The sequence below is a fragment of the Homo sapiens genome, chromosome 9 (genome assembly GCF_000001405.40).
Source record: "Homo sapiens chromosome 9, GRCh38.p14 Primary Assembly".
In the NCBI taxonomy this organism is placed as follows: domain Eukaryota; kingdom Metazoa; phylum Chordata; class Mammalia; order Primates; family Hominidae; genus Homo; species Homo sapiens.
In genome coordinates this window covers 124,605,620-124,629,648 of record NC_000009.12, presented here as the reverse complement: position 1 = coordinate 124,629,648, position 24,029 = coordinate 124,605,620, and the positions used below count along the sequence as shown (strand labels likewise).

The 24,029-nt window shown below is 41.6% G+C and overlaps 1 protein-coding gene and 1 pseudogene across 4 annotated transcripts in view, besides 1 other annotated feature; one reads left to right on the top strand and one right to left on the bottom strand.

The window, feature by feature from the left end:
• The window catches only part of NR6A1 (nuclear receptor subfamily 6 group A member 1), a 254,037-nt gene that overhangs the window by 141,663 nt on the left and 88,345 nt on the right, over nucleotides 1–24,029 (top strand). The window lies entirely within an intron of this gene.
• Nucleotides 11,499–12,000: an enhancer, noted in NCBI's record as "NANOG hESC enhancer chr9:127379928-127380429 (GRCh37/hg19 assembly coordinates)". NCBI's record gives its function as "activates a minimal SCP1, AML or CMV promoter by ChIP-STARR-seq in primed H9 embryonic stem cells {active_cell/tissue: H9 hESC(primed)}" and the evidence as "EXISTENCE:reporter gene assay evidence [ECO:0000049][PMID:30033119]".
• RN7SL302P (RNA, 7SL, cytoplasmic 302, pseudogene) lies at nucleotides 22,191–22,490 on the bottom strand (annotated as a pseudogene).

Genomic DNA, 24,029 nt, shown 5'->3' with positions numbered 1-24,029 from the left:
AAAGTGAGAGGCCTAACAGGGAAGACCTTGCACGCTCTGGGAAATGGCCTCGAGAAAGGAAAAAACACTCAAAACTTGGAGTCAGGTTCTAGCTCTGCCCACTTGGATATTTGATTCCCATCTTCTGGAGCCTCAGTTTCTTCACTGGTAAAATGGAGGTGATGATACTTTCTCACAGAGTTATTCTAAAGTCATGATTATAAGTGGATTTACTATTAAGTGATCAAGATGAAGAAGAAATGTGTTTTGAAACTAATTCAATTGCAGCATTTTACAAGTGTCATAATTATATTTAAATAACTTGCTGTCACACTTTGTTGCAGGAAAATACAGTCTCACTTTACAGCTGGTTTCTACTTGGCCTGTTTTAATGAGTTAAAATCGAATTTAATTGGCCTGATAACAAACAATTCTTGTTTCATTACTTATCGTTCTGTAGGTTCCTGCCCTTGATTGTTAGGCTCTGCACACCAGTAGAAAATGCAGGATAAGTTTCCCTTTTTAACTCCATTCACTTGTGGCAGGAAGAATGTGAATTAAGGATGAATCCTAAAAAGCCATCTGAGATGGTAAAAGGGAGGCATTGCAGGAGGCAGAGGCCTCTTTGGCCTGTCTTTGGCTTGACGTGTCACTTGCAGCTTAGGTGGTCATCATGGTGAGGATGTGTTGACATTAAAAGCAAAGGCCAGGGCCGGGGGCGGTGGCTCGCGCCTGTAATCCTAGCACTTTGGGAGGCCGAGGTGGGCAGATTGCCTGAACTCGGGAGTTCGAGACCAGCCTGGGAAACATGGTGAAACCCCGTCTCTACTAAAATCCAAAAACAAAGACAAAAACAAAAAAATTAGCCGGGCGTGGTGGTGTGTGCCTCTAGTCCCAGCTACTCAGGAGACTGAGGCAGGAGAATTGCTTGAACCCGGGAGGCGGAGGTTGCAGTGAGCCAAGATCACGCCATTGTACTCCAACCTGGGCAACGGAGCAAGACTCCATCTCTTTAAAAAAAAAAAAATAGGCTGGACGTGGTGGCTCATGCCTGTAATCCCAGCACTTTGGGAGCCAAGGCGGACGGATCACAAGGTCAGGAGATTGAGACCATCCTGGTCAACATGGTGAAACACCATCTCTATTAAAATACAAAAAATTAGCCGGGTGTGGTAGTATGTGCCTGAAGTTCCAGCTACTTGGGAGGCTGAAGCAGGGGAATTGCTTGAACCTGCGAGGCCCAGATTGCAGTGAGCCAAGATTGTGCCACTGCACTGCAGCCTGGTGACGGAGCAAGACTCCATCTCAAAAAAAATTAATAATTATTAGAAAATCAAAGGCAGGCCAGGTGCGGTGGCTCACGCCTGTAATCCCGGCACTTTTGGAGGCCGAGGCGGGCGGATCACCTGAGGTCAGGAGTTCAAGACCATTCTGGCCAACGTGGTTAAACCCCGTCTCTACTAATAATACAAAAATTACCTGGGTGTGGTGGCGTGCGCCTGTAGTCCCAGCTACTCGGGAGGCTGAGGCAGGAGAATCACTTAAATCCAGGAGGCGGAGGTTGCAGTGAGCTGAGATTGCACCGCTGCATTCCAGCCTGGCGGCAGAGCGAGACTCCGTCTCAAAAACAACAACAACAATAACAACAACAAAAGCAAAGGCCAAACAAAGTCCCCTTCACTCTCTACACACACCGTATTTTCTTCCATCTACATTTATAGTTCCTTGGGACCACTGTACTTTCTGTTGCTTTGTTTTGAAAAAAAAAAAAAAAAAAAAAAAAAAAAGAAAATCTCAGACCAGGCATGGTGGCTTATGCCTGTAATCCTAGCACTTTGGGAGGCCAAGGCAGGCAGATGGCTTGAGTCCAGGAGTTCGAGACCAGCTTGGGTAAGATGACAAGGCCCCGTTTGTACAAAAAAATTTGAAAATTAGCAGGTTGTGGTGGCACATGCCTGTAGTCTGAGCTACTTAGGAGGCTGAGGCAGGAGGATTGCCAGAGTCCAGGAATTCAAGACTGCAGTGAGCTGTGATTGCATCACTGTGCTCCATCCTGGGTGACAAAGGGACAGCAACTCTAAAAAATTTTTAAAAAAGAAATTCTCACTCTCATTTGCTAAGATGTTCTTTACATCCAAACTTTTGCTAGAATCAAGTTGCTTACTTTGTCATCCTGCTGAAAACCCCTCAGCCTGTGGATTTCCATAATCTCCTGTGGTCCAGTGCTTTTTGTTTTCTTAGAGTTTTTTGCCATCCTTCATTTAGGAGTGAGTGGAGGAAGGGAAAAAATGGTATGGAAATAAAGGTACATCTTAGTTAATCACTGCCACTTTTCTGTTTGTTTGTTTTTTAAGGCGGGGCTAGATTATTTAATATGGCTATCCTGTAGTTAGAGGCAAGGCACTGGAATCATCTGGGTTCTGATCTCAGTTACACTACATTCTAGGTACATGACCTAGGCCAAAACATCTGTCAGAGCTCAGTTTTGTCATTTTAAGAAATAGGAAACATTGTCTTACAGATGTTAAGTGTTGAATGAAACAATATATGTGAAACATCTAGTGCAGTGCATAGTACTCTGGAAGTGCTCAAGAAATGTTGTATTCTTCCAAAAGCATTTTCTAAATAGAACAACATTCATTTGTGTACTTATCCAATAAATATGTATCAGTCAATTCCTGTAATGGTAGCTTCTCAGTAGTCTTTTGTCCTGAAGCTCCATTATTTTTATTATTTTGAGATGGAGTCTCACTCTGCCACCAGGCTGGAGTGCAGTGGTGCCCTCTTGGCTCACTGCAAACTCCACCTCCCGGGTTCAAGCGATTCTCCTGCCTCAGCCTCCTGAGTAGCTGGGATTACAGGCGTGTGCCCCTACGCCCGGCTAATTTTTGTATTTTTAGTAGAGACGGGGTTTCACCATCTTGGCCAGGCTGGTCTCAAATTCCTGACCCCGTGATCCACCCACCTCGGCCTCCCAAAGTGCTGGGATTACAGGCGTGAGCCACCACGCCCCGCCTGAAGCTCCAGTATTATTAGGGATAGCCTTTTAAGTTCCAGGCAGCAGGCCAAAAAGTGACTTTTGGAAATATATATAATTTGTAAGTCAGTATCTGTCATGCTGGAGGCTCTGGAAGATACACTTCTGGATTTAATTTATCTCTGATATTTCTGCCCCTAATTTTTAGTGCATAGTATGATCATTTGAATTCTAAACAAAACTAGATCCTAGATGTATGAGTCATTATTCTCCAGAGAAACAGAACCAATATGCTTTGAGGCTGGCTGGCTGGATGGATGGAGATTCATTTTAAGGAATTGGCTCACGTGATTATGAAGACTGGCAAATCCAAAATCTGTAGGATATGGCTGGGTGTGGTGGCTCAAGCCTGTAATCCCAGCACTTTGGGAGGCCAAGGCGGGCAGATCACTTGAGGTCAGGAGTTCAAGACCAGCCTGGCCAGCATGGTGAAACCCTGTCTCTACGGAAAATACAAAAATTAGCTGGGCATGGTGGCGTGCGCCTGTAGTCCCAGCTGCTCGGAAGGCTGACGCAGGAGAATTGCTTGAGCCCGCAGGCAGAGGTTGCAGTAAGCTGAGATCGTACCACTGCACTCCAGCCTGTGTGACAGTGAAATTGTGTCTCAAAAAATAAATAAATGAATAAAGACACAGAATCTGCAGGATGGCTCAGTCAGTTGGAGACCCAAGAAAGCCATGCTGCATTTGCAGTCTGAAGGTCTGCAGGCCAGACACCTACGGTAGCCAATGTTCCAGTTCAAGTCCAAAGGCAGGCTGCTGGAGAGTTCTCTCTTGTAGGAGGGAGGCTGGTCTTTTTGTTCTGTTCAGGCCTTCACCTAATTTGATGAGGCACACTCACATTATGGAGGGCAATCTGCTTTACTCAGAGTTTGCAGACGTAAATGTTAATCTCATCCAAAAATAGCCCCCCCCAGACACACCCAGAATATTGTTTGACCAAACAGTCTGGGCACCCTGTGGCCCAGCCAAGCAAGTTGGCATAAAAATAACTATCACACTCTAGAATTAATGAAGAACACACTAGAATTAATGAAGAACAGAAAACCTAGAGAGCCTTGCAATATTGGTCATCATTTTATGCCTCTTAATAAAATGAGCCTGGGCAGCATAAGGAGACCCCACCTCTACAAAAAAGAATTAGCCAGACATGGTGGCGCATACCTTTGGTCCCAGCTACTTGAGAGGATGAGCAGGAGGCTCGCTTGAGCCTGTGAGGTTGAGGCTGCCGTGAGCTGTGATCATGCCACTGCACTTCAGCCTGGGTGGCAAAGCGAGACACTATCTCAATAATAATAACACTATTGCTCTTTCTAAAGTATTTTCACATGCATTATCTCAACCGATCTTCACAGCAGCTCTTGTGAGGTTACCAGAGTAAAGAGATGACTCCATTTGTCAAAAGAGGAAACTAAAACTAGACAGATTCGGAGACTTGCTCCAAGGTCTCACAGCTAGTGAGTGGTAGAGCTACAACTTGCCCAGGTCCTATAACTTCAAACCCTGGCATTTTGTCCTTGGCTATACTCTCTGTGACATCTGGGGAATTCTGGAAATAGTTATGAGTGCCTTGTGGCTTTTCTTATAACTACTATCATACTGCTCTTTGGAACCATTTTGTGCTAGAAAGTTATCCAAATATATATTGGCAGAACCTAAAGATTTTGTTTTCAGATGACTCTAATGATGCCCTGAGGTTGGTAGAAAAAAAAAAAAAAAAACAAGCTAGCAACAGAAAAAGTAATGTCAAAAAGTAATTAGAGCAGGACAAATGGATTGTGCTGCCATGTTCAAGGCTGTTATTTTTGTTGGCAGTGAGGAGGAAGGGCACTAATGCAATGTGACAGATCTGGAGCAAAACCCAGAGCACTGCGCAAGCTGCAGAGCCTCCACCAATGGCAAGCTCAAATCACAAAGTCTGACTGAATAATATTTGATATCTCAAAGAGCTGTTTCATGTTTTTTAGAAACACTAATTGTTTTAGGGGACCTATTTTCTTGATTTCAGCTTTTGGGAAATAGCCTCATGGTCCTATGAAAGTAGTCAGTGTGTCCTAGGATAACTCCCGTCCCAGCGTTCTGTCTCTGCACATTCTCAGGCTAAGCAGGGACATGATGCCAACAGAGATTTTAAGAAAAGATACCTAATATGAAACTAATTGGAGTGGCTGGATATTACCCATTCAGAGGGAGAATGAAATAGAAAAGGTGTCTTTTCAGTATTCAGCTTAGTATTCGAAAATTGACCTGAAGAAGTTCAGATGGTAACATTCTCATCTGTCTGAGGACAGGATGCTTTGGTTTGCTAGCCTAGCTTACCCACGGCTGTGATCCCACTGCTGCCACCATGTACCGGGAAACTGCCACAGCCCTCAAGAACGATAGAACTTATCATCATTTGCCTGGAAGGAAATCTTTGCAAAGAGAAGAGTACATTAACTCTTGCCCCTGTGAGTCACCATACCTTTGAAGTCTTGGTAATTACTAATTGTTGCCACCAGTATGGCATGGTAGTTAAGAGCTTGTAGTACTCCGACATTCCTGGGTTCATATTCTAGCTCTGCCCTTTACTAGCTGTTTGACTTTGGGCAACTTAACCTCTGAGCCTTAGTTTATCTCTGAAATGGGAATAATAAACTTACATTCAGACTTAAAAGACTCTGGTGAGGTGATACATGTAAAACAGTTAACACTGGTGCCAGGCACAAAGTAAGGGCTTAATAAAGGTAGAAGAAAAAGTGTGGAGAAAGGGGAGGAGGCTTATGTTGTCTGTCAAACAGATGTTAGTGGGTGGTTAGACATCCATTCTTCTTTAACTTTCTGGTCTAAGCAGAGATAAGTAGTTTTTCCTTCAAGACCCCATATAGTACAGCTGAGGTAGGGCTAGAACAGCTAAAACAGGCTTCCCTCACTAAATATTCAGGGGGTAGGGAGGAGAAATTAAGACAGGATATTATGATTCTAAGTAATTGGACTCAGGCTGGGTGTGGTGGCCCATGCCTGTAATCCCAGCACTTTGGGAGGCCTAGGTAGGAGCATCACACGAGCCCAGAAGACCAGCCTGGGAAACAGAGTGAGACCCCATCTCTTAAAAAAAAAAAAAAAAATTAGCCAGGCATGGTAGCTCATGCCTGTAGTCCTAGCTAGTTGGGAATCTGAGGTGGGAGGATCTTGAGCCCGCGAGGTCAAGGCTGCAGTGAACTGTGATCATGTCACTACACTTCAGCCTGGGTGACAGAACAAGACCTTGTCTCAAATAAATAAATAAATAATAATAATAATAATTGGACTCATGAGACATACACTATCCTCTCAGTCCTCTGAAAGGAATCTCCTTTCCTTCCTAGCTCTTTGCTTGCCTGAATGGCCTCCTTTCCCCCAAACTCTTTGAAAACTCAGAACTGTCCAAAGATCAAGTCTTGACACCTTGCCATCATATCCCTACCTTCCTTCAAGTCACTTCATTTTGACAGTTTCCCTTTCTTGTCCTGCCATGACCTCTGCAGAGGGCTGGCTGATAAGAGAGGCAGAGACAATCCTGCCAACCTCTACAGGGATAGACCTCTTATTTGGCACACTGTGGAGGGAAATATACTTCTGGATTTTTAGTAGTATTGCCTGGCCCTGAGTTCATCATAGCCTCCTTGTTATGCTTCTGTAGTTTTATTACATTGTGAGTCTTCTGAGGGACCCCAACAACCATTGGTTTATAGACCATTTTCCAAGGTCCATTTCTCTCTGCAAAATCCCTTTTTCAAATTGAACCCGTTCAGACATTGTGCCCTGCTTGTGCAGGATCTACACCTCTGTGAGAAGTTCATTCCTCCACCCCCATTGAAGCCAGAATTGAGCTCAATTTCCTACTCTTTTTTTTTTAAGGTTTTCCAGTGTTTTTGTTGCTCTACCCCATTCCCAAAACCTGTTTCTTTATGGCTTGTGACTTTTCCTGATAGTCTTTATCCTCTGTAGGTGCCCAAATCCTGAAAAAATATATCAAGTATCAAAACAAAAGTCCCAAATACGTTATAGTGGTTCAGTATTTGTAGTTTGCTTAACTTTTATTTTATTTAACAGCTATTTCTAAGACATTTCTCCTCAGAGAATGTGATTAAGTAAAGTTATCTCAACTAGGCATCAGGATTTGACACACAGTGTTTCAATTAACAGCTGAAAAGCCATAATCTTTTTAGCAGTGAGCAACAGAAAATGTCAAAGAAACTTTGCTGTTTTGCCGGTCTGAACCTAGTTTTCCATCTGGAAAACGGGACTTAGGGAGATCACCGACATTGTCAACCCAGTTTAGTGTGAAGGACATGGGATATTACACACAGAACCAATTCTTGTTGCAGTTCTGTAAACCCTAGTCAGTGTAAACTGGAGAAGAGCGTGGGAAAATACTGGTTGGTCATGCCAGACTTTTGTTTTCTTCTCACTCTGTCACCCAAGCTGGAGTGTGGTGGTGTGATCTCAGCTCAGTGCAACCTCTGCCTCCCAGGCTCAAGCGATCCTCTCACCTCAGCCTGCGAAGTAGCTGGGACCACAGCTGCATGCCACCATGCCCGGCTAATTTTTTTGTATTTTTGTTAGAGACGGGGTTTCACCATGTTTCCCAGGCTGGTTTCAAACTCCTGGGCTCAAGAGATCAGCCCGCCTCGGCCTCTCAAAGTGCTGAGATTATAGGCACGAGCCACCATGCTCGGCTGTTATTTTCTTGGTTGCTTGCCTGGTGCTGGGAATGCCTGTGGCTTTTTAGCACAATGATTGCCAAAAATTAACCACCTTCCTCCCCTGCCCCCTCAAAAACATTTCTGTGTGGCTTATGGTTTAGGTTTTATCTCTTGTCATTTCTCTTCAGTTTTTCTGTACAAAATGAAATGCTAGATTCATTTACAGTATGTTCAAATTAAACTTTTAAAAAATTTGCTATTATTTTTCATATTAGTAAGAAGCATTTCCTTTTTTTCCTTTTTCTTTTTTTTTGAGACAAGGTCTTACTCTGTCACCCAGGCTCCAGTGCAGTGGTATGGTCACAGCTCACTGCAACTTCAACCTCCTTGGCTGAAGTGATACTCCCACCGTATCCTCCTAAGTTACTGGGACTGCAGGCTTGCACCACCACCACACCCCACTCATTCTTTTTTTTTTTTTTTAAAGATATTGGGTCTCACTGTGTTTCCTAGGCTAGTCTCAAACTCAAGGACTTAAGTGATCCATCTCGGCCTCCCAAAGTGCTGGGATTATAGGTGTGAGCCACCACTTCCAGCCTAATAAGCATTTCTTGAATCCCCAATGTATGCTAAGCATTTTTTGAGCTACTGAAAAGGAAGTTTCTTCTTGTGTCAGGGAATCTATGCATATCCATAATGATGTGACTTTTAGCCAGACTGTGTAAGGAACAAAAAGCATGTTTTATGTCAGATTTCTTAAGTGCACATTTATTCAAAAAGTTAAAGAATTTTAAAAAGGAGTATACTTTGCAGGCAAAGCCCCTGGTCATCACTGTACTTGTGATCACTGTTTGGTTATTACTCCTGGAATCTTGAAGTCTTGGTACATTTTTACCACTGTATCTATTGAGTTAGTTGTGTTTCGATCTGGGCTCTGGGTGCTTTATTTGCTAGCAGTAGCTGTGGCCTAATCTGAACATCATTTTTCTTTTTTCTCCAAAGAGCATGGTCCCTACTCTGTCTGCCTCACATGATAGTTAGGAGGATGAAATAGAGAAATGCAAGTTAAAGCCCCTCCCAAGGGCAGAGCATTATATAAGTGTAAAATAGGCATGGTTTTGTAAGGATGTATCTTTTTAAACCTTTTTTTTTTTTTTAAACAATGAGACATGTTTCACATATCATAATTTACTCTGTACAGTTGAGCGATGTTTGGTATATTTACCAAGTTTTGCAACCATTACCACAAATCAGTTTTAGAACATTTTCATCATCTTAATAAGGACCTTTCTGCCCTTTTACTGTTAAACCCAGCAATCCTTAATCCTACTGTCTCTATAGATTTGTCTTTTCTGGACATGTCATATAAATTGAATTATACCATATGTATTATCTGTGTCTTGCTGCTTTCACGTAGCATGGTGGTTTTGAAGTTTGTCCGTGCCATAGCACTTGAGTAGTCAGTTCCTTTTTGTGCTGAATATATTCCAGTGTATGGATATGCCATACATTTTATCTATCCATTCACCAGTTGATGAGCATTTGTGAATAATGCTACTATGAACATTCACATGCAAGTCTTTGGACATATGTTTTCATTTCTCTTGGGAATAAGGGTATATCTTTTAATTATAAAAGTACTTCATGCCTATTCTGAAAAATTATTTATTTACGGAAGTATAAAACTTGGTAAATCAAAGTTACCTCCTTAATTCAACTTCTCAGAGGTAGTGATGTTAATAATAATCATTATCATCTTCTATATCTTCTGAGCATTTGCTATATGGCAGGTACCTTATTTATATATATTCATTTATATTGTGCTACCTTATTTGTGTGTAATCAGTTATATTTATATATGTATATAAAACAATAAAACAAATTAATTGAATTTTCTTTTTTTTGGAGATGAAGTTTCGCTCTTGTTGCCCAGGCTGGAGTGCAATGGCGCAATCTTGGCTCACTGCAACCTCTGCCTCCCAAGTTCAAACGATTCTTCTGCCTCAGCCTCCCAAGTAGCTGGGATTACAGGCATGCACCACCATGCTTGGCTAATTTTGTATTTTTAGTAGAGACGGGGTTTCACCATATTGGTCAGGCTGGTCTCGAACTCCTGGCCTCAGGTGATCCACCTGCCTCGGCCTCCCAAAGTGCTGGGATTACAGGCGTGAGCCACCTCAGCCAGCCAATAAAATAAATGAATTGAATTTTCATCATAATCCTTTGAAGGCAATATGTGCCCCCCTCCCTATTTTACAGATAAGGAAACTGAAGTTTGAGGATGAAGTGTAAAGTCACACTTCTAGTAAGCAGCAGGCCAAAACTGAAACCTGGGCAGTCTGATGTATACTCTGGTTCTAGACTTTCCAAACATGCAGTTTTTTTAAAAAAAGTAAAAATTATAGTCCAGGTATGGTGGCTCATGCCTGTAACCCCAGCGCTTTGGGAGGCCAAGGCAGGCAGATTGCTTGAGCTCAGGAGTTTCAGACCAGCCTGGGAAACGTGGTGAAACACTATCTCTACAGAGATACAAAAATTAGTCAGGTGTGGTGGCAGGCGCTTGTAGTCCCAACTACTTGGTAGGCCAAGGCAGGAGGATCACTTTAGCCCAGGAGGCGGAGGTTGCATTGAGCCAAGATTGCGCCACTGCACTCCAGCCTGGGCGACAGAGGGAGACCCTGTCTCAAAAAAAATTTTTTTTTTAATTAAAATTACATACTTAATTGTGTAGCTTGTTTTATTTCACTTAATTTGTGTTAGAGATTGTTCCATGATATGATTCATGGATCTGTCTCATTGTTTTAACGAATGGTTGCGTTAATAGATATGCCAGGATTTATTTCATTCATCTTTTGTTGGTGGGAATTAGATTGTTTTTATTTGTTCTCTATTATGAATAGGGCTGCAGTGAATATCCTTGTATAATACTTTGCTTACTTATGGCATTACTTTTGTAGCGTAAAACCCTGGAAGTGGAATTTCTAGGTGAAAGAGTTTATCCATTTGAATCTTGGTGCTGCTAAATTCGTCCTCCCCCAAATGGTGGTAAATACTGCTCCCACCCCTACTCTCCTACCACCTCAACTCTGCAATCAGGGTGTAAGAGAGCCTGCTTTCCTATTCTCACCAATGCTGTATTATTTATTATGACTGTAGTGTGGGCTGTGATACAGATCATATAAATGTTCCAGGGAGAAGTTAGCATATCAGTGGCAGTGAACAAATGGCAAATAATAGTTGTTGTGTCTCGCCTCTTGATAGGTAAGGATGTGGTATTTCCCTAGACCTTCAAGAGCTGAAATATCGAGTGGCCCAAACTTTAGTTCAGATTAATTTAGGATGACTCACTTGGTTAATGATCTAAAGTGAACACTGTTGGAGACATTTCAACCATAGTGATTTCTGTTTTCTTTGACCTGTAACCTAACTGCTCTGGGCTCGTGGTTACCTTTCTTTTTCCTTTATTCTATTTTTTTTATTTTTTGAGATAGAGTCTCACTCTGTTGCCCAGGCTGGAGTGCAGTGGTGCAATCTCGGCTCAATGCAACCTCCGCCTCCCGGGTTCAAGTGATTCTCCTGCCGCAGCCTCCTGAGTAGCTGGGATTACAGGCACATGCCACCACGCCCATCTAATTTTTTGCATTTTTAGTAGAGATGGGGTTTCATTATGTTGTCCAGGGTGGTCTCGAACTTTTGTCCTCAAGTGATCCGCCTACCTCAGCCTCCCAAAGTGCTGGGATAACAAGTGTGAGCCACCGTACCTGGCCATGGTTACCTTTCAACTCATTGCTGCTTACAGTATCCTTCCCTTGCCCCCAGCTCAGTTTAAAATGAAGCCAAGTAAAGGGAATGAGAAACCAGACATTTGTGATGGATATGTAGGTTTGCCCTTTCCATTCTTTCTTTCAACAGAAACTGCCAAAATGAGGCCAGCAGCATAATGCATCGCCTGTTTAGTCTCCCCAGGGGTTGGGCTTCAGTAATCTTTGTTGCTTGGCAAGATTCTAGTTGATAAAGGTTTGGCATGGCCAGTATATATACCTGTTTAAGAGGAGGTGACTTTTTTTTATCTTGGTGCCAGTTAAGGAATCAAGGACACTGAGTGTTAGGTGTTGCTAGTTGTGGATAATCCCAGTTATCTTGCAGGTACGAGGGTCTGCCATACCTCCCAAATTTTGGAAGCCCTGGTTAGCATGTTCTGTGGATTTTGCCTTTGTCTTCTGATCACTTTTCTTCACTCCCCAGGCTTAATGTCTGCATCCTGAGGCCTTGTTGGTCTGGGGGATGCTGCCCTCTGCTGGTGGACTCTAGGACACCCACAGCGGTTTGGATGGGTCCAATCACTAGGGGAACTGACAAAGCTGTAGGGAGCCACTCATAAAGCTTTCTATAGTTTCCAACTTCATAACCCAGCCCTAAGACTTTTTCCTTTGAAAATAGCTCATCAGACACTAGAAAAGATACAAGTACAGAAACTTTCCCTGTAGCATTATTTGTAGTGGCCAAATAATAACACCTAGGTGCCCTGCGCTAGCTAATTGTGTTTCCATTCAGTTGACTGGCTTACAGCTGCTGAAATTGACTATATAAAAGACAAAAATAGAATGAAAATATTTACCACAAAACAAAAACCAGGCAGAATATACCAATTGCAGCCATTGAAGAAATGCCTTATGTAGGATAAGGGCCACCCGGGAATCTTCAAAATTGGCTCTCAAAGCTGGAGTGATTTCCTTTTATGTTAGTGGTGCTAATAAACAACGGGAGGGAGGAATTAGCTGAATGATTGGCAGCCTGGCTGAAATCTAGAATGAGTGACTTGCAGATTGACTGGGTGAAGTCTAAAAGTCTGGTTTCTAATCTCCTTACCCATCTCTCCATCTTGGCTCTTCCTCTACTGATCAGTATTTAGGTTTCTTCTGACTTTTTAAAATTGTAATAAATGTGCCTTATACGTATATTTTTGTGAACATGTGTATTTCTCTAAGATGGAGAGAAGTGGTATTTTTGGGTCACAGGGTGTGTGTAGTTTAAATGTTGGTAGATCCTGTAAGCTGTTTTCAAGTTGTACATCAACCACCAGCATTGTATGAGCATACCCATTTCTTCAAAACTTCACCACTGAAATATACCACTATTTTTAATTTTTTGCCAATCTGATGAGAAATGGTTTATAATGGTTGCTTTACTTTTGAGTTTTTATTAGTGACCTTTTCACTGTTACTCATTCTAATCATATTAGGGCATCTTTGCCTGGTCATATTCTTTGTCCATTGGGTGGTTTGCTTGTCTTTTTCCTACTGATTTTTAGGAACTCTTTATGTTTTGTAAATACTAATATATGTGTGTGTATAAGTATGTATATATATTTTGGGATCTTTGCCTTTTAGAAGTTAGACCTTTATATAGATGCAGATCTGATCATCATTTCTTTAATGATATCTGGATTTCATGTTATGCTTAGAAAGACACCCCCTCAGTATATTATAATATATATGTTTTTGTTTATGTGGTTGTGGGATTGTGATTAGTTCTAGTTCTTTTCTTTTTTTTTTTTTTTTTTTGAGATGGAGTCCCGCTTTGTCGCCCAGGCTGGAGTGCATTGGCGCGATCTTGGCTCACTGCAATCTCCGCTTCCCGAGTTCAAGCGATTCTCCTGCTTCAGCCAGTGGAGTAGCTTGGGATTACAGGCATGCGCCACCATGCCTGGCTAATTTTTGTATTTTCAGTAGAGTTGGGGTTTCACCATGTTGGTTGGCGAGGCTGGTCTTGAACTCCTGGCCTCAGGTGATCTGCTCACCTCGGCCTCCCAAAGTGCTGGGATTACAGATGTGAGCCACTGCGCCTGTCCAATTAGTTCTTTTCTATCTCAGGAAATTTCTGTTTCATGAGCTGCCAACAAGTTTTATGGCCAAATAAAACTTGGTTTTAAAACAGAAATGAGCTGGGCGTGGTGACTCACGCCTGTAATCCCAGCTTTGTGAGGCTGAGGCAGGCAGATCACCTGAGGTCAGGAGTTCAAGACCAGCCTGACCAACATGGTCATGGAGGTTGCAGTGAGCGGAGATTGTGCCACTGCACTGCAGCCTGGGCTACAGAGCGAGACTCTGTCTCAAAATAAATAAATAAATAAATAAATAAAACCTAAGATTGTACAAGTACTAAGTGGCAAAGTTTTTCTGGCTCCAAACATTCTAGCTACTGCTCATTTTAATTGTCTGAATTCCAGGAACATGTAAATTTTAACCTATAATCAGTCTTCTCTTGTTCAGCTCTTTGACAAAAGCCTTGTGACTCAGTGTCTGCTTACCAAGTTTTGTATCATTCTGGGAAAAAAAAAAAGGCAAAAACCCTTATATTTCACAAGGATTTGTTAGGTGCTTTGTGGGGGAATGGAGAAAGTTGGAAGGTTGGGATAATTAGGATTACGAAATAGTTGAAATAAATATTGTGTTGCTACTGATTATAATAACCTTTGCTAGTTTCCAGTGTTTGACCTCTATAGAATTCACCATATACACATGCAGGATTTTAAAGGTGCTATATGGGCCTTTAAGAGACCAGGATTTTACTTCTCAGTTTTGTACCTGGTGCCCACGCTGGAACCCCAACTATATGTGCCTACTCCAGTTTCCTCTCAGAGGCCTATTATCATTTTGCTGAGTGTTGATTTTCAAATCATTATGACTAGTTGTGAAACACTTACTGTAAAAAGCATCCTACCCATTTTGCTTAATTTATCTTTCTAATTAGGGCATTGTAATGATGGAATTACATTCTATGCAGTTTTTAATGCATTAGCCTGGAAGTTCAGCAATTTCTTTTTATGCTGCATTCATCTGAGCATTCTCAAAGTTACATGATAAAGAATCTAAGCTCTCCAACTTTGTATTAACTTGATCTGAATAGAAACATTCAGTGGAATCCAACTATCTTATTTGTGTGAAAAGTGAACCTCACCAGGACTGAGTAAACACCATTAAAAGAGCAATACCAGGCTTTGAATCCAGTTATATCACTGGGACCACAAGGGCAAATAAGATTGTGAAGAGCCATTTTTCCAGGAATAGGCTTGCAAGGATTGTCTTTAATGCATTTGAGTGTCTCTTGCAAAGAAGAAGGACATGGTAAATGGGAAGGTCTGTTTGGGCAGAGTTGCAGAGACTTGAAAAGCACCAACAAAAAAAGAAAATTTCAGTGTGGTAGCCAGTTCATTGAGGAGGGGTTATGATGATATTATCTTTACAGTCATTTTTGTGCCAAGCTGATTTACAAAGGGAATTTTTGCATATAGTGGCGGACTTTTGTCTATGTCAAGAGGAGCCTAAGGCAGAGTATATTTTTAGGATCTATTCTCTCAACCCGTTGGAGTTGCCTCTCTGGCTCCTGCTGACTTATCCATCTCTCATGCCACAAACCTGCCATCACCACCTGTCTTAGATTCTATCATTTATAGATTGAATAGGACAAACAGCTAATCTGATAAGTGAATCAGTGCTCTTAGAATACCCGAGGGCCAGTTGTTGGGGGATATATAAATGCTAATTAGGACTTTCAGGAAATAAATTCTCTAACTTTGAAAGTTTTTCATTCTGGCTGGTGGAGACAGAAACTATTCTTGGCCCTATGGAGCCCCAGAATTGTTCCCTCTACTCCTTTGGGATGATTTTTTCCCTGGCTTTGGGTAATTTTTCTCGTATATGTGCACTGATCAGTCCTCAGCTGAAGACTTGGAGGACCCCTCTGCAGATCTCAGCTGTGCTCTCTCTGCATAGCCCTCTCCCTCCTAGCCCTCTTCTTTGTGAACTCCAGCTGCCCTGCCTCCTGGACTCCCAGCTTCTAATCCTCAACTCTTGGGACTGTTGAGCTCTACCTGGGTTCTCCCTTCCTGTGCTCTAGGCTGGAAACTCAGGGCTTCGGTGGGTATTTGTAGGACTTCCCTTATTTGTTTCCTCTTTCTCTGGAGTCACTGTCTTTGGCCGCCTGAGGTCCAGTACCTGAAAATCATTGTTTTATATGGTTTGTCCAGCTCTGTAGTTGCCCCAGCCAGGTGACCAAATCTGGTCCCCATTACTCCATCTTGGCTAGGGTGGCAGAAGTCCATCTGTAAACTTTTATATACTTTTAAATATATGTTTTTGTAAATGAGATCAAACTGATTCTTTTCATTAACAAGATATTATAGACTTCTTTATGCCAGTAATGTTCTTTGTATTATACAGATTTATTAGCCATCCCCCTATTGATTGCAAAGTTTGAGCTTTTCTTTTAATTTTTATTTACTTATTTATTTTTTGTTTTGTTTGAGATAGAGTCTTGCCCTGTCACCCAGGCTGGAGTGAAAGTGGCTTGCTCACGCCTCAGTGCAGCCTCAACCTCCCAGGCTCAAGCGATCCTCCCACCTCAGCCTCCCTAGTAGCTTGGACTACAGGTGTGTGGCACCATGCCTGGCTAATTTTTGTGTTTTTTATTTTTATTTATTTTTTTAGAGACGGTCTTGTCATGTTGCCCAGGCTGGTCTCAAACTCCTGGGCTCAAGCAATCTGCCCACCTTGGCCTTCAAAAGTGGTGGTATTATAGGTGTGAGCCACCACACCAGGCCTTAATTTTAATTTTAATTTTAATTTTATTTTAGAGACAGGGTTGCTCTCTTGCCCATGCTGGAGTGCAGTAGCACCTTCTTAGCTCACTGCAGCATCAAACTTCTGGGCTTAATTGGTCCTTCCGTGTCAGCTCCCAAATAGATGGGACTACAGGTATGTGCCACCACATCCAGCTAAATTTTAAATTTTTTGTAGAGATAGGGTCTCACCATGTTGGCCAGGCTGGTCTCAAACTCCCGGCCTCAAGCGATCCTTCCTCTTCAGCCTCCCAAAGGCTGGGATTACAGGTATAAGCCACCACTCCTGGCTTTGAATTTTAAAATTTATTTAGCTACTATATACAGTACTGCCATGAATATCTTCTCACTCCTGCACAAGTACTTCTGTAAGGTACATTCCTAGAATTAGAACTGCTATATTAAATGGCATGGGCATTTTAAAGCATGGGCTTGGCTTTAATAAATAATGCCAAAAATAACCTCTCAAAATGTTGTACCAATTTGTATAATGGTTGTGTGATGGAAGATGTGAAAGAAAGAAAGAAAAGAAAGAAAGAAAGAAAGAAAGAAAAGAAAGAAAGAAAAACCCAAACTACTACTTTGCATTGACATTGATAGGATATATGGGGGTTTACCTTACCCACAGTACAAGAGTTGTAACTGAAATTGGATCATTTTTAAGGGTATAATTCCTTGGCAGGCAAATTCTTAGATTGGTGTGATTTGCAACTGGCCCATCTGCTAACCCAGTTAAGTAACTGAGAAGAGGGGAGTATCTATGAGGTTCCTTTGCATAGTGCTCAGATGTGAGCTCCCCCTGCTTATGTTCCTGGTACTCTTCCCTTTAGGTGCAGTGCTATTTTAAGTCCTGAAGAGATGCTGGGGTATCTGTCCAAGCAGGCTTGTCAAGAAGGGATGCTTGAAGAAGTCCCAGGAAAGCATTTTCTAGAAGTCATTGGTCTCCTCTCAGTCCTGGAACTGTTTTTTTCTCTGCTTTCCACACTGATTTGTCCTTACACATCTGAGCCCGGGGTCAGTTCTATGGAGGGTCTGCATAAGTCTTGTCTTTTGTTCCAAATGAAGGTTGCTCCTGGGAATCTGGGTGGACTATGAGAGTGAGGGGCAGAAGAGAAGAGTGGTTCAAGTCAGCAGTGGAAACCTATCCTTTGTTACTTGACATCTGCTTTAAATTCCTTGTTTAGTTTTGTTTGGAAACCTTATCAAAAAGCACAAGGTTCTGGGACACAAGGAGCTAAACAGTATAGCTGCACAGCTCAGCTATCACTTTCTCTGGGAAACCCTTCCAGATATTCATCAGATACATATTAGGTTCCAAGAAAATAGTGGTGAGCTACTGGCACCCCAGCTAAGACAAGCACCTCTTCTCTGAGCACACCTTGTATTTTGCCCCTCTTCTAAGATAGATATCATTATCCCTTACACTGGCTTGCTGGCTTGAGCTCTTCAAGGATAAGATCTTGACTCATTCATCTTGACCTACCCATCCCCAGCTTAGCACAGAATGGGAATTGCTCAGTGTTGACCTGCTCTGAATGCTGAATTCTCTCTCATTCTCTCTCATTCTCTCTCTCTCTCTCTCTCTCTCTCTCTCTCTAAGACAGGGTCTCACTCTGTTGTGCAGGCCTGGAGCACAGTGGTGTAATCACGGCTCACTGGAGCCTCGACCTCCTAGGCTCAAGTGATCCTCCCACCTCAGCCCCCCACATAGCTAGGATTACAGGCATGTGCCACCATGCCCAGCTGATTTTTTTTCTTTTAATTTTTAATTTTGTAGAAGTGAGTGTCTCACTATATTGCCCAGGCTGGTCTCAAACTTCTGGCCTCAAGCAATCCTCTTGCCTTAGCCTCCCAAAGTGTTAGGATCAGAGGTGTGAACCACTGTGCCCAGCCTTAAATTGTCTCTAATTTTGGAGCAAAGACTGGAGAGTAGTCTTTGGTGGCTACTCTGGGGGATCTCTTCCCTACGGATGTCTGAGCAAGCACTCTGTCTCACTAATGGGCTTGAAAACAGAGATTCTTGTAGAGAACGTGACTCATGGTTCTGGAAGTAAGGAAAATAATAACTACTGCTAGGTTTGCTGGGCCTATGATAAGTACTTTAGTGATAATGAGAAGTATTTTACATACATTCTCAACCAAAATGGCCTGATCCCAATTTTGTTTTTTTTTTGGTAAGGGAAGTGAAGGCTCACAGAGATAAAAGAAAGTTATTGTATCTTACTGTGGGACACTGAACATGTTTAACTCCAAAGCCCACTATACCTGCCTCCTCCTTCCGCACAGTAAGTTTTGAAGAAGGCTAAACTACTGAATGGGTCAGGAAAAGGATACTTCCAGGTAGTATCCTCAAATAGCACTCCAACCTGAGATTCAGAAAGGAAAGTTATTTGGGGTCAAAAGCACCTCTCCGCTCAGCTTGGTGTATTGAACTCTTGAAAAATACAATTATAAACACCTCTATGCAAGTAAACTAGAAAATCTAGAAATGGATAAATTCCTGGACACATACACCCTCCCAAGAATGAGCCAGGAAGAAGTTGAATCCCTGAATAGACCGATAATGAGTTCTGAAATTCAGGCAGTAATAAATAGCCTTCCAACCAAAAAAAGCCGAGGACCAGACGGATTTACAGCTGAATTCTACCAGAGGTACAAAGAGGAGCTGGTACCATTTCTTCTGAAACTATTCCAAACAATTGAAAAGTAGGAACTCCTCCCTAACTCATTTTATGAGGCCAGCATCATCCTGATACCAAAACCTGGCAGAGATACAACAAAAAAAGAAAACTTCAGGCCAGTATCCCTGATGAACATCAATGCAAAAATCCTCAATAAAATACTGGCAAACTGAATCTAGAAGTACATCAAAAAGCTTATCCATCACGAGCACTTTGGCTTCATCCCCAGGATGCAAGGCTAGTTTAACCTACACAAATCAATAAACGTAATTCATCACATAAACAAAACTAAAGACAGAAACCACAGATTATCTCAAAAGATGCAGAAAAGGCCTTCTATAAAATTCAACATCCCTTCATGTTAAAAACTCTCAATAAACTAGGCATTGAAGGAATATATCTCAAAATAATAAGAGCCATATACGAGAAACCCACAGCCAATATCATATACTGAATGGGCAAAAGCTGGAAATATTTCCCTTGAAAACTGACAAAAGACCGGGATGCCTTCTCTCACCACTCCTTTTCAATGTGGTATTGGAAGGTCTGGCCAGGAAATCAGTCAAGAGAAAGAAATAAAGGTATTCAAATAGGAAGAGAGGAAGTCAAATTGTCTGTTTGCAGATGACATGATCCTATAAAAAACCCATCATTTCTGCCCAAAAGCTTCTTAAGCTGATAAGCAACTTCAGCAGTCTCAGGATACAAAATCAATGTGCAAAAATCACAAGCATTCCTATACACCAACAACAGATAACCAGAGAGCCAAGTCATGAATGAGTTCCCATTCACAATTACTATGAAGAGAATAAAATACCTAGGAATACAGCTAACAAGGGAAGTGAAGGACCTCTTCAAGGAGAGCTACAAACCACTGCTCAAGTAAATCAGAGAGGACACAAACAAATGGAAAAACATCCCTTGCTCATGGATAGGAAGAATCAATATTGTCAAAATGGCCATACCACCTAAAGTTATTTATAGATGCAATGCTATTCCCATTAAACTACCATTGACATTCTTCAAAGAATTAGGAAAAACTATTTTAAAATTCATATGGAACCAAGAAAGAGCCAATATACCCAAGACAATCCTAAGCAAAAAGAACAAAGTTGGTGTCATCAGGCTACCTGACTTCAAACTAGACTATAAGGCCACAGTAAGCAAAACAGCATGGTACTGGTACAAAAACAGACACATAGACCAATGGAACAGGATAGAGAACTCAGAAATAAGGCTGCACATCTACAACCATCTGATCTTCAATAAACCTGAGAAAATCAAGCAGTGGGGAAAGGTTTCCCTATTTAATAAATGATGCTGGGAGAACTGACCAGTCATATGCAGAAAATTGAAACTGGACCCCTTCCTTACATCATAGACAAAAATCAACTCAAGATGGACTAAAGACTTAAATGTAAAATCCAAAACCATAAAAACCCTAGGTGAAAACGTAGGCAGGACCATTCAGGACATAGGCACAGACAGAGATTCCATGATGAAGACACCAAAGGCAATTGCAACAAAAGCAAAAATTGACAAATAGGACAGCAATAGAAACTATCATCAGAGTGAACAGACAACCTATAGAATGGGAGAAAATTTTCGCAATCCATCTGACAAAGATGTAATATCCAGAATCTACAAGGAACTTAATCAAATTTAAAAGGAAAAAAACACATTAAAAAAGTGGGCAAAGGACATGAACAGACACTTCTCAAAATAAGACATTTATGTAGCCAACAAACATAGGAGAAAAAGCTCAACATCACTGATCATTAGAGAAATGCAAATCAAATCCATAATGAGATACCATCTCACACCAGTCAGAATGGTGATTCTTAAAAAGTCAAGAAACAACATATGCTGGTGAGGCTGCAGAGAAATAGGAATGCTTTTATACTGTTGGTGGGAATGTCAGTTAGTTCAACCGTTGTGGAAGACAGTGTGTGGATTCCTCAAAGACCTAGAACCAGAAATACCATTTGACCCAGCAATTCCATTACTGGGTATATACCCAAAGGAATATAAATGATTCTGTTATAAAGTTACATGCACACATTTGTTCATTGCAGCACTATTCACAATAACAAAGACATAGAATCAACCCAAATGCCCATGAATGATAGACTGGATAAAGAAAATGTGGTATATATACACCATGGAATACTCTGCAGCCATAAAAAAGAATAGGATTATGTCCTTTGCCGCTCCTTTGGATGGAGCTGGAAACCATTATCCTCAGCAAACTAACATAGGAACAGAAAACCAAACACTGCATGTTCTCATTTATAAGTAGGAGCTAAACAACGTGAACACACAGACACAGGGAGGGGAACAACACACACTGGGGCCTGTTGGGGGTGGGGGAGGGAGAGCATCAGGAAAAATAGCTAAGATATGCTGGGCTTAATACCTGGGTGATGGGTTGATACATGCAGCAAATCACCATGGCACACATTTACCTGTGTAACAAACCTGCACATGTACCCTGAAACGTAAAATAAAAATAAAATCTAAAAAGTGCTTTTTTCTTTTTTAAATTTTGTTTTCTGGTTGTCATTTTTCCTCCTAAGCACGAAATTATTTTTTTTATTTATTTTTTTGAGACTGTCTCCTAGGCTGGAGTACGATGGCGTGATCACGGCTCACTGTAGCCTCAACCTCCTGGGCTCAAGCAATCCTCATGCTTCAGCCTCCCAAGTAACTGGGACTACAGTTGTCTGCCACCATGGCTGACTGGCTTGCTTGCTTGCTTATTTATTTATTTACTTGTTTATTTTTGTAGAGACAGGGTTACGCTATGTTGCCCAGGTTGGTCTTGAACTCCTGGCCTCAAGCGATCATCCTAACTTAGACTGCCAAAGTGCTGGGATTGTAGGTGTTGGCCACCGTGCCCACCCAGGTATTATTTCATGAAAAACATTATTCTAAGTAATATTAACTAAGTTTATTGAAAATTTACTGTTTGCCAGGCATTGTGTTGAACATTTTTCATAAGATTATCTCTTTCAGTTCTCACAGAGACTCCATGGGGTAGGTAATGCTAACAACCTATTTTATAGATGAGGAAATTGAGACAAGTTATGCAATTTACCTAAAGTCACATAGCTAGTAAATTTACAGGATCCAAAATTTGAATCTCGATTTAACCCTAGAATTTCTTTGCTGAACCTCTCTTTTATTCTATCTTCCTATTAATTTTAAAGAGATGGGGTCTCACTGTGTTGCCCAGGCTGGAATCCAGTGGCTACGGACAGGCACAGTCCCACTTCTGATCAGTATGGGAGTTTTGACCTGCTCCATTTCTGACCTAGGCCAGTTCATCCCGCCTTAGGCAACCTGGTGGTCCCCTGCTACTGGGAGATCACCATATTGAAGCTGAACTTAGTGTGGAACACCGGATTGGCGTAGTGTACTATAGCCCAGAACTCCTAGGCTCAAGTGACCTTTCTGCCTCAGCCTCGTGAGTGGCTGGGACCGTAGGGATATGCCACCATGCCCAGCTTATTCTATCTTTCTATAAAAGAAAAAATAAAAAGTCCTGAGCTTGAGAGAATGGGGCCTGAGTTGCAGTTCCAGGATGTCCAGGAGCAGCATCAAGTTTTATTGTCCCTTGTGCTGGAGTATGTATCCCAATCTCTGATACCTGTTCCCTTTACTCAACATATTTAAAGGTTAAACTAACAAAAACCTGAGTTCCAAAGCCCAGGATTGAATAATATTTCAGGATTCACCAAAGAGAAAGATGAGTGAATATACACAGAAAGGGAGCAGGAACTTAGAAAGTAGCAGGGAAGCAATATCCCCTTTCCTCAGTTTATCAAGTTCCTATTGACAGGGAGGTGCCCATGGCCTTTGGGGTCAGACAAGCTGCCAGCGGGTGATGGCACATACCCTGTGTTCTTGGAGTTTGTTAAATTACCTCACTGTCACGTGAACATAGAGTTGTGTTATTAAAGATAATTTTAGTTAGTTTGAACTGTATACTTATTTAATCAATAACCCTGAAGAATCACTGTTCCCATTTAACAGACTTAGGAGAATTGAAGTGCCTTGCCCAAGTTTACAAAATTAATGCATGTTGTATAGTTGCTATTTGATACCAAGTTTGTCTGACTCCAAAGTATATAATTCCAGGCTGCCCCTTATTTTATTTAGCTCTTTCTATAGAATTATGGATTTCTTGGAAGCCTAGGCCTTTTTTTTTTAATCCATCAGACATATATCAAGTACCCATTTTTGCTATGTTCTGTGATAGATTCCAGGAATACAGAAATGAATCAAACCCTGGTCCCTTGTTCTTGGAATATTCACAGACCCATAGACACATGGAGGCAGGCACACAAAGGGATGAAATGGTGGACATTCATAGAATTGGAACCTTTAGGGCAGGGAAGAGTAGGAGAATATTTCATAGAAGATGTCATGCCTGAATTTGCTGATCATTAAATAATTCATGGAAACTAGCTAGGCAGAAGTAACACTACATGCAAAGGCGCATTTGGGAAACTGCAAATAGCACTATTTGCTGAGAGCATTGGGAATATGAGAAGGGAGAAGGGAGAGGAAGGCTCTTATGAGGTTGGGAAGGTGCTTTATTCTGAAGGCCGTGAAAGGTTTTAAGTAGAACTGGCATGGTTTTGAGTCTTAGCAGCCAGGATGGAGAATGGATTGCAGGAAGGTGATGCAGAAAAAGAGAAAGGAAAAAGCAAGGAGCAAGCAAGACATACCCATAAAGGAAGCTACTAAAATAAGCCAGATGGGAGATAGTGGTGGTCAAGACTGTGAGAGTGATGACAGAAACAAATAGATGGATTCAAGATTTGTTTGTGTGCTTTAATTTTTATAAAACAAAAATAGAAATACAAAGTAGTATAATGAGGCCATGTACCCAGCCTCAACAACCATCATCGAAGGGCTAACCCTGTCCTACTCATAGTTCCACCCATTCATTTTCCATTTTATTTTGAAGCAAATCTTAAGTATCATTATTTCATTTGTTAATATTCCAGTATGTATCCTTATCCTTTAAAAGTGTGGGGT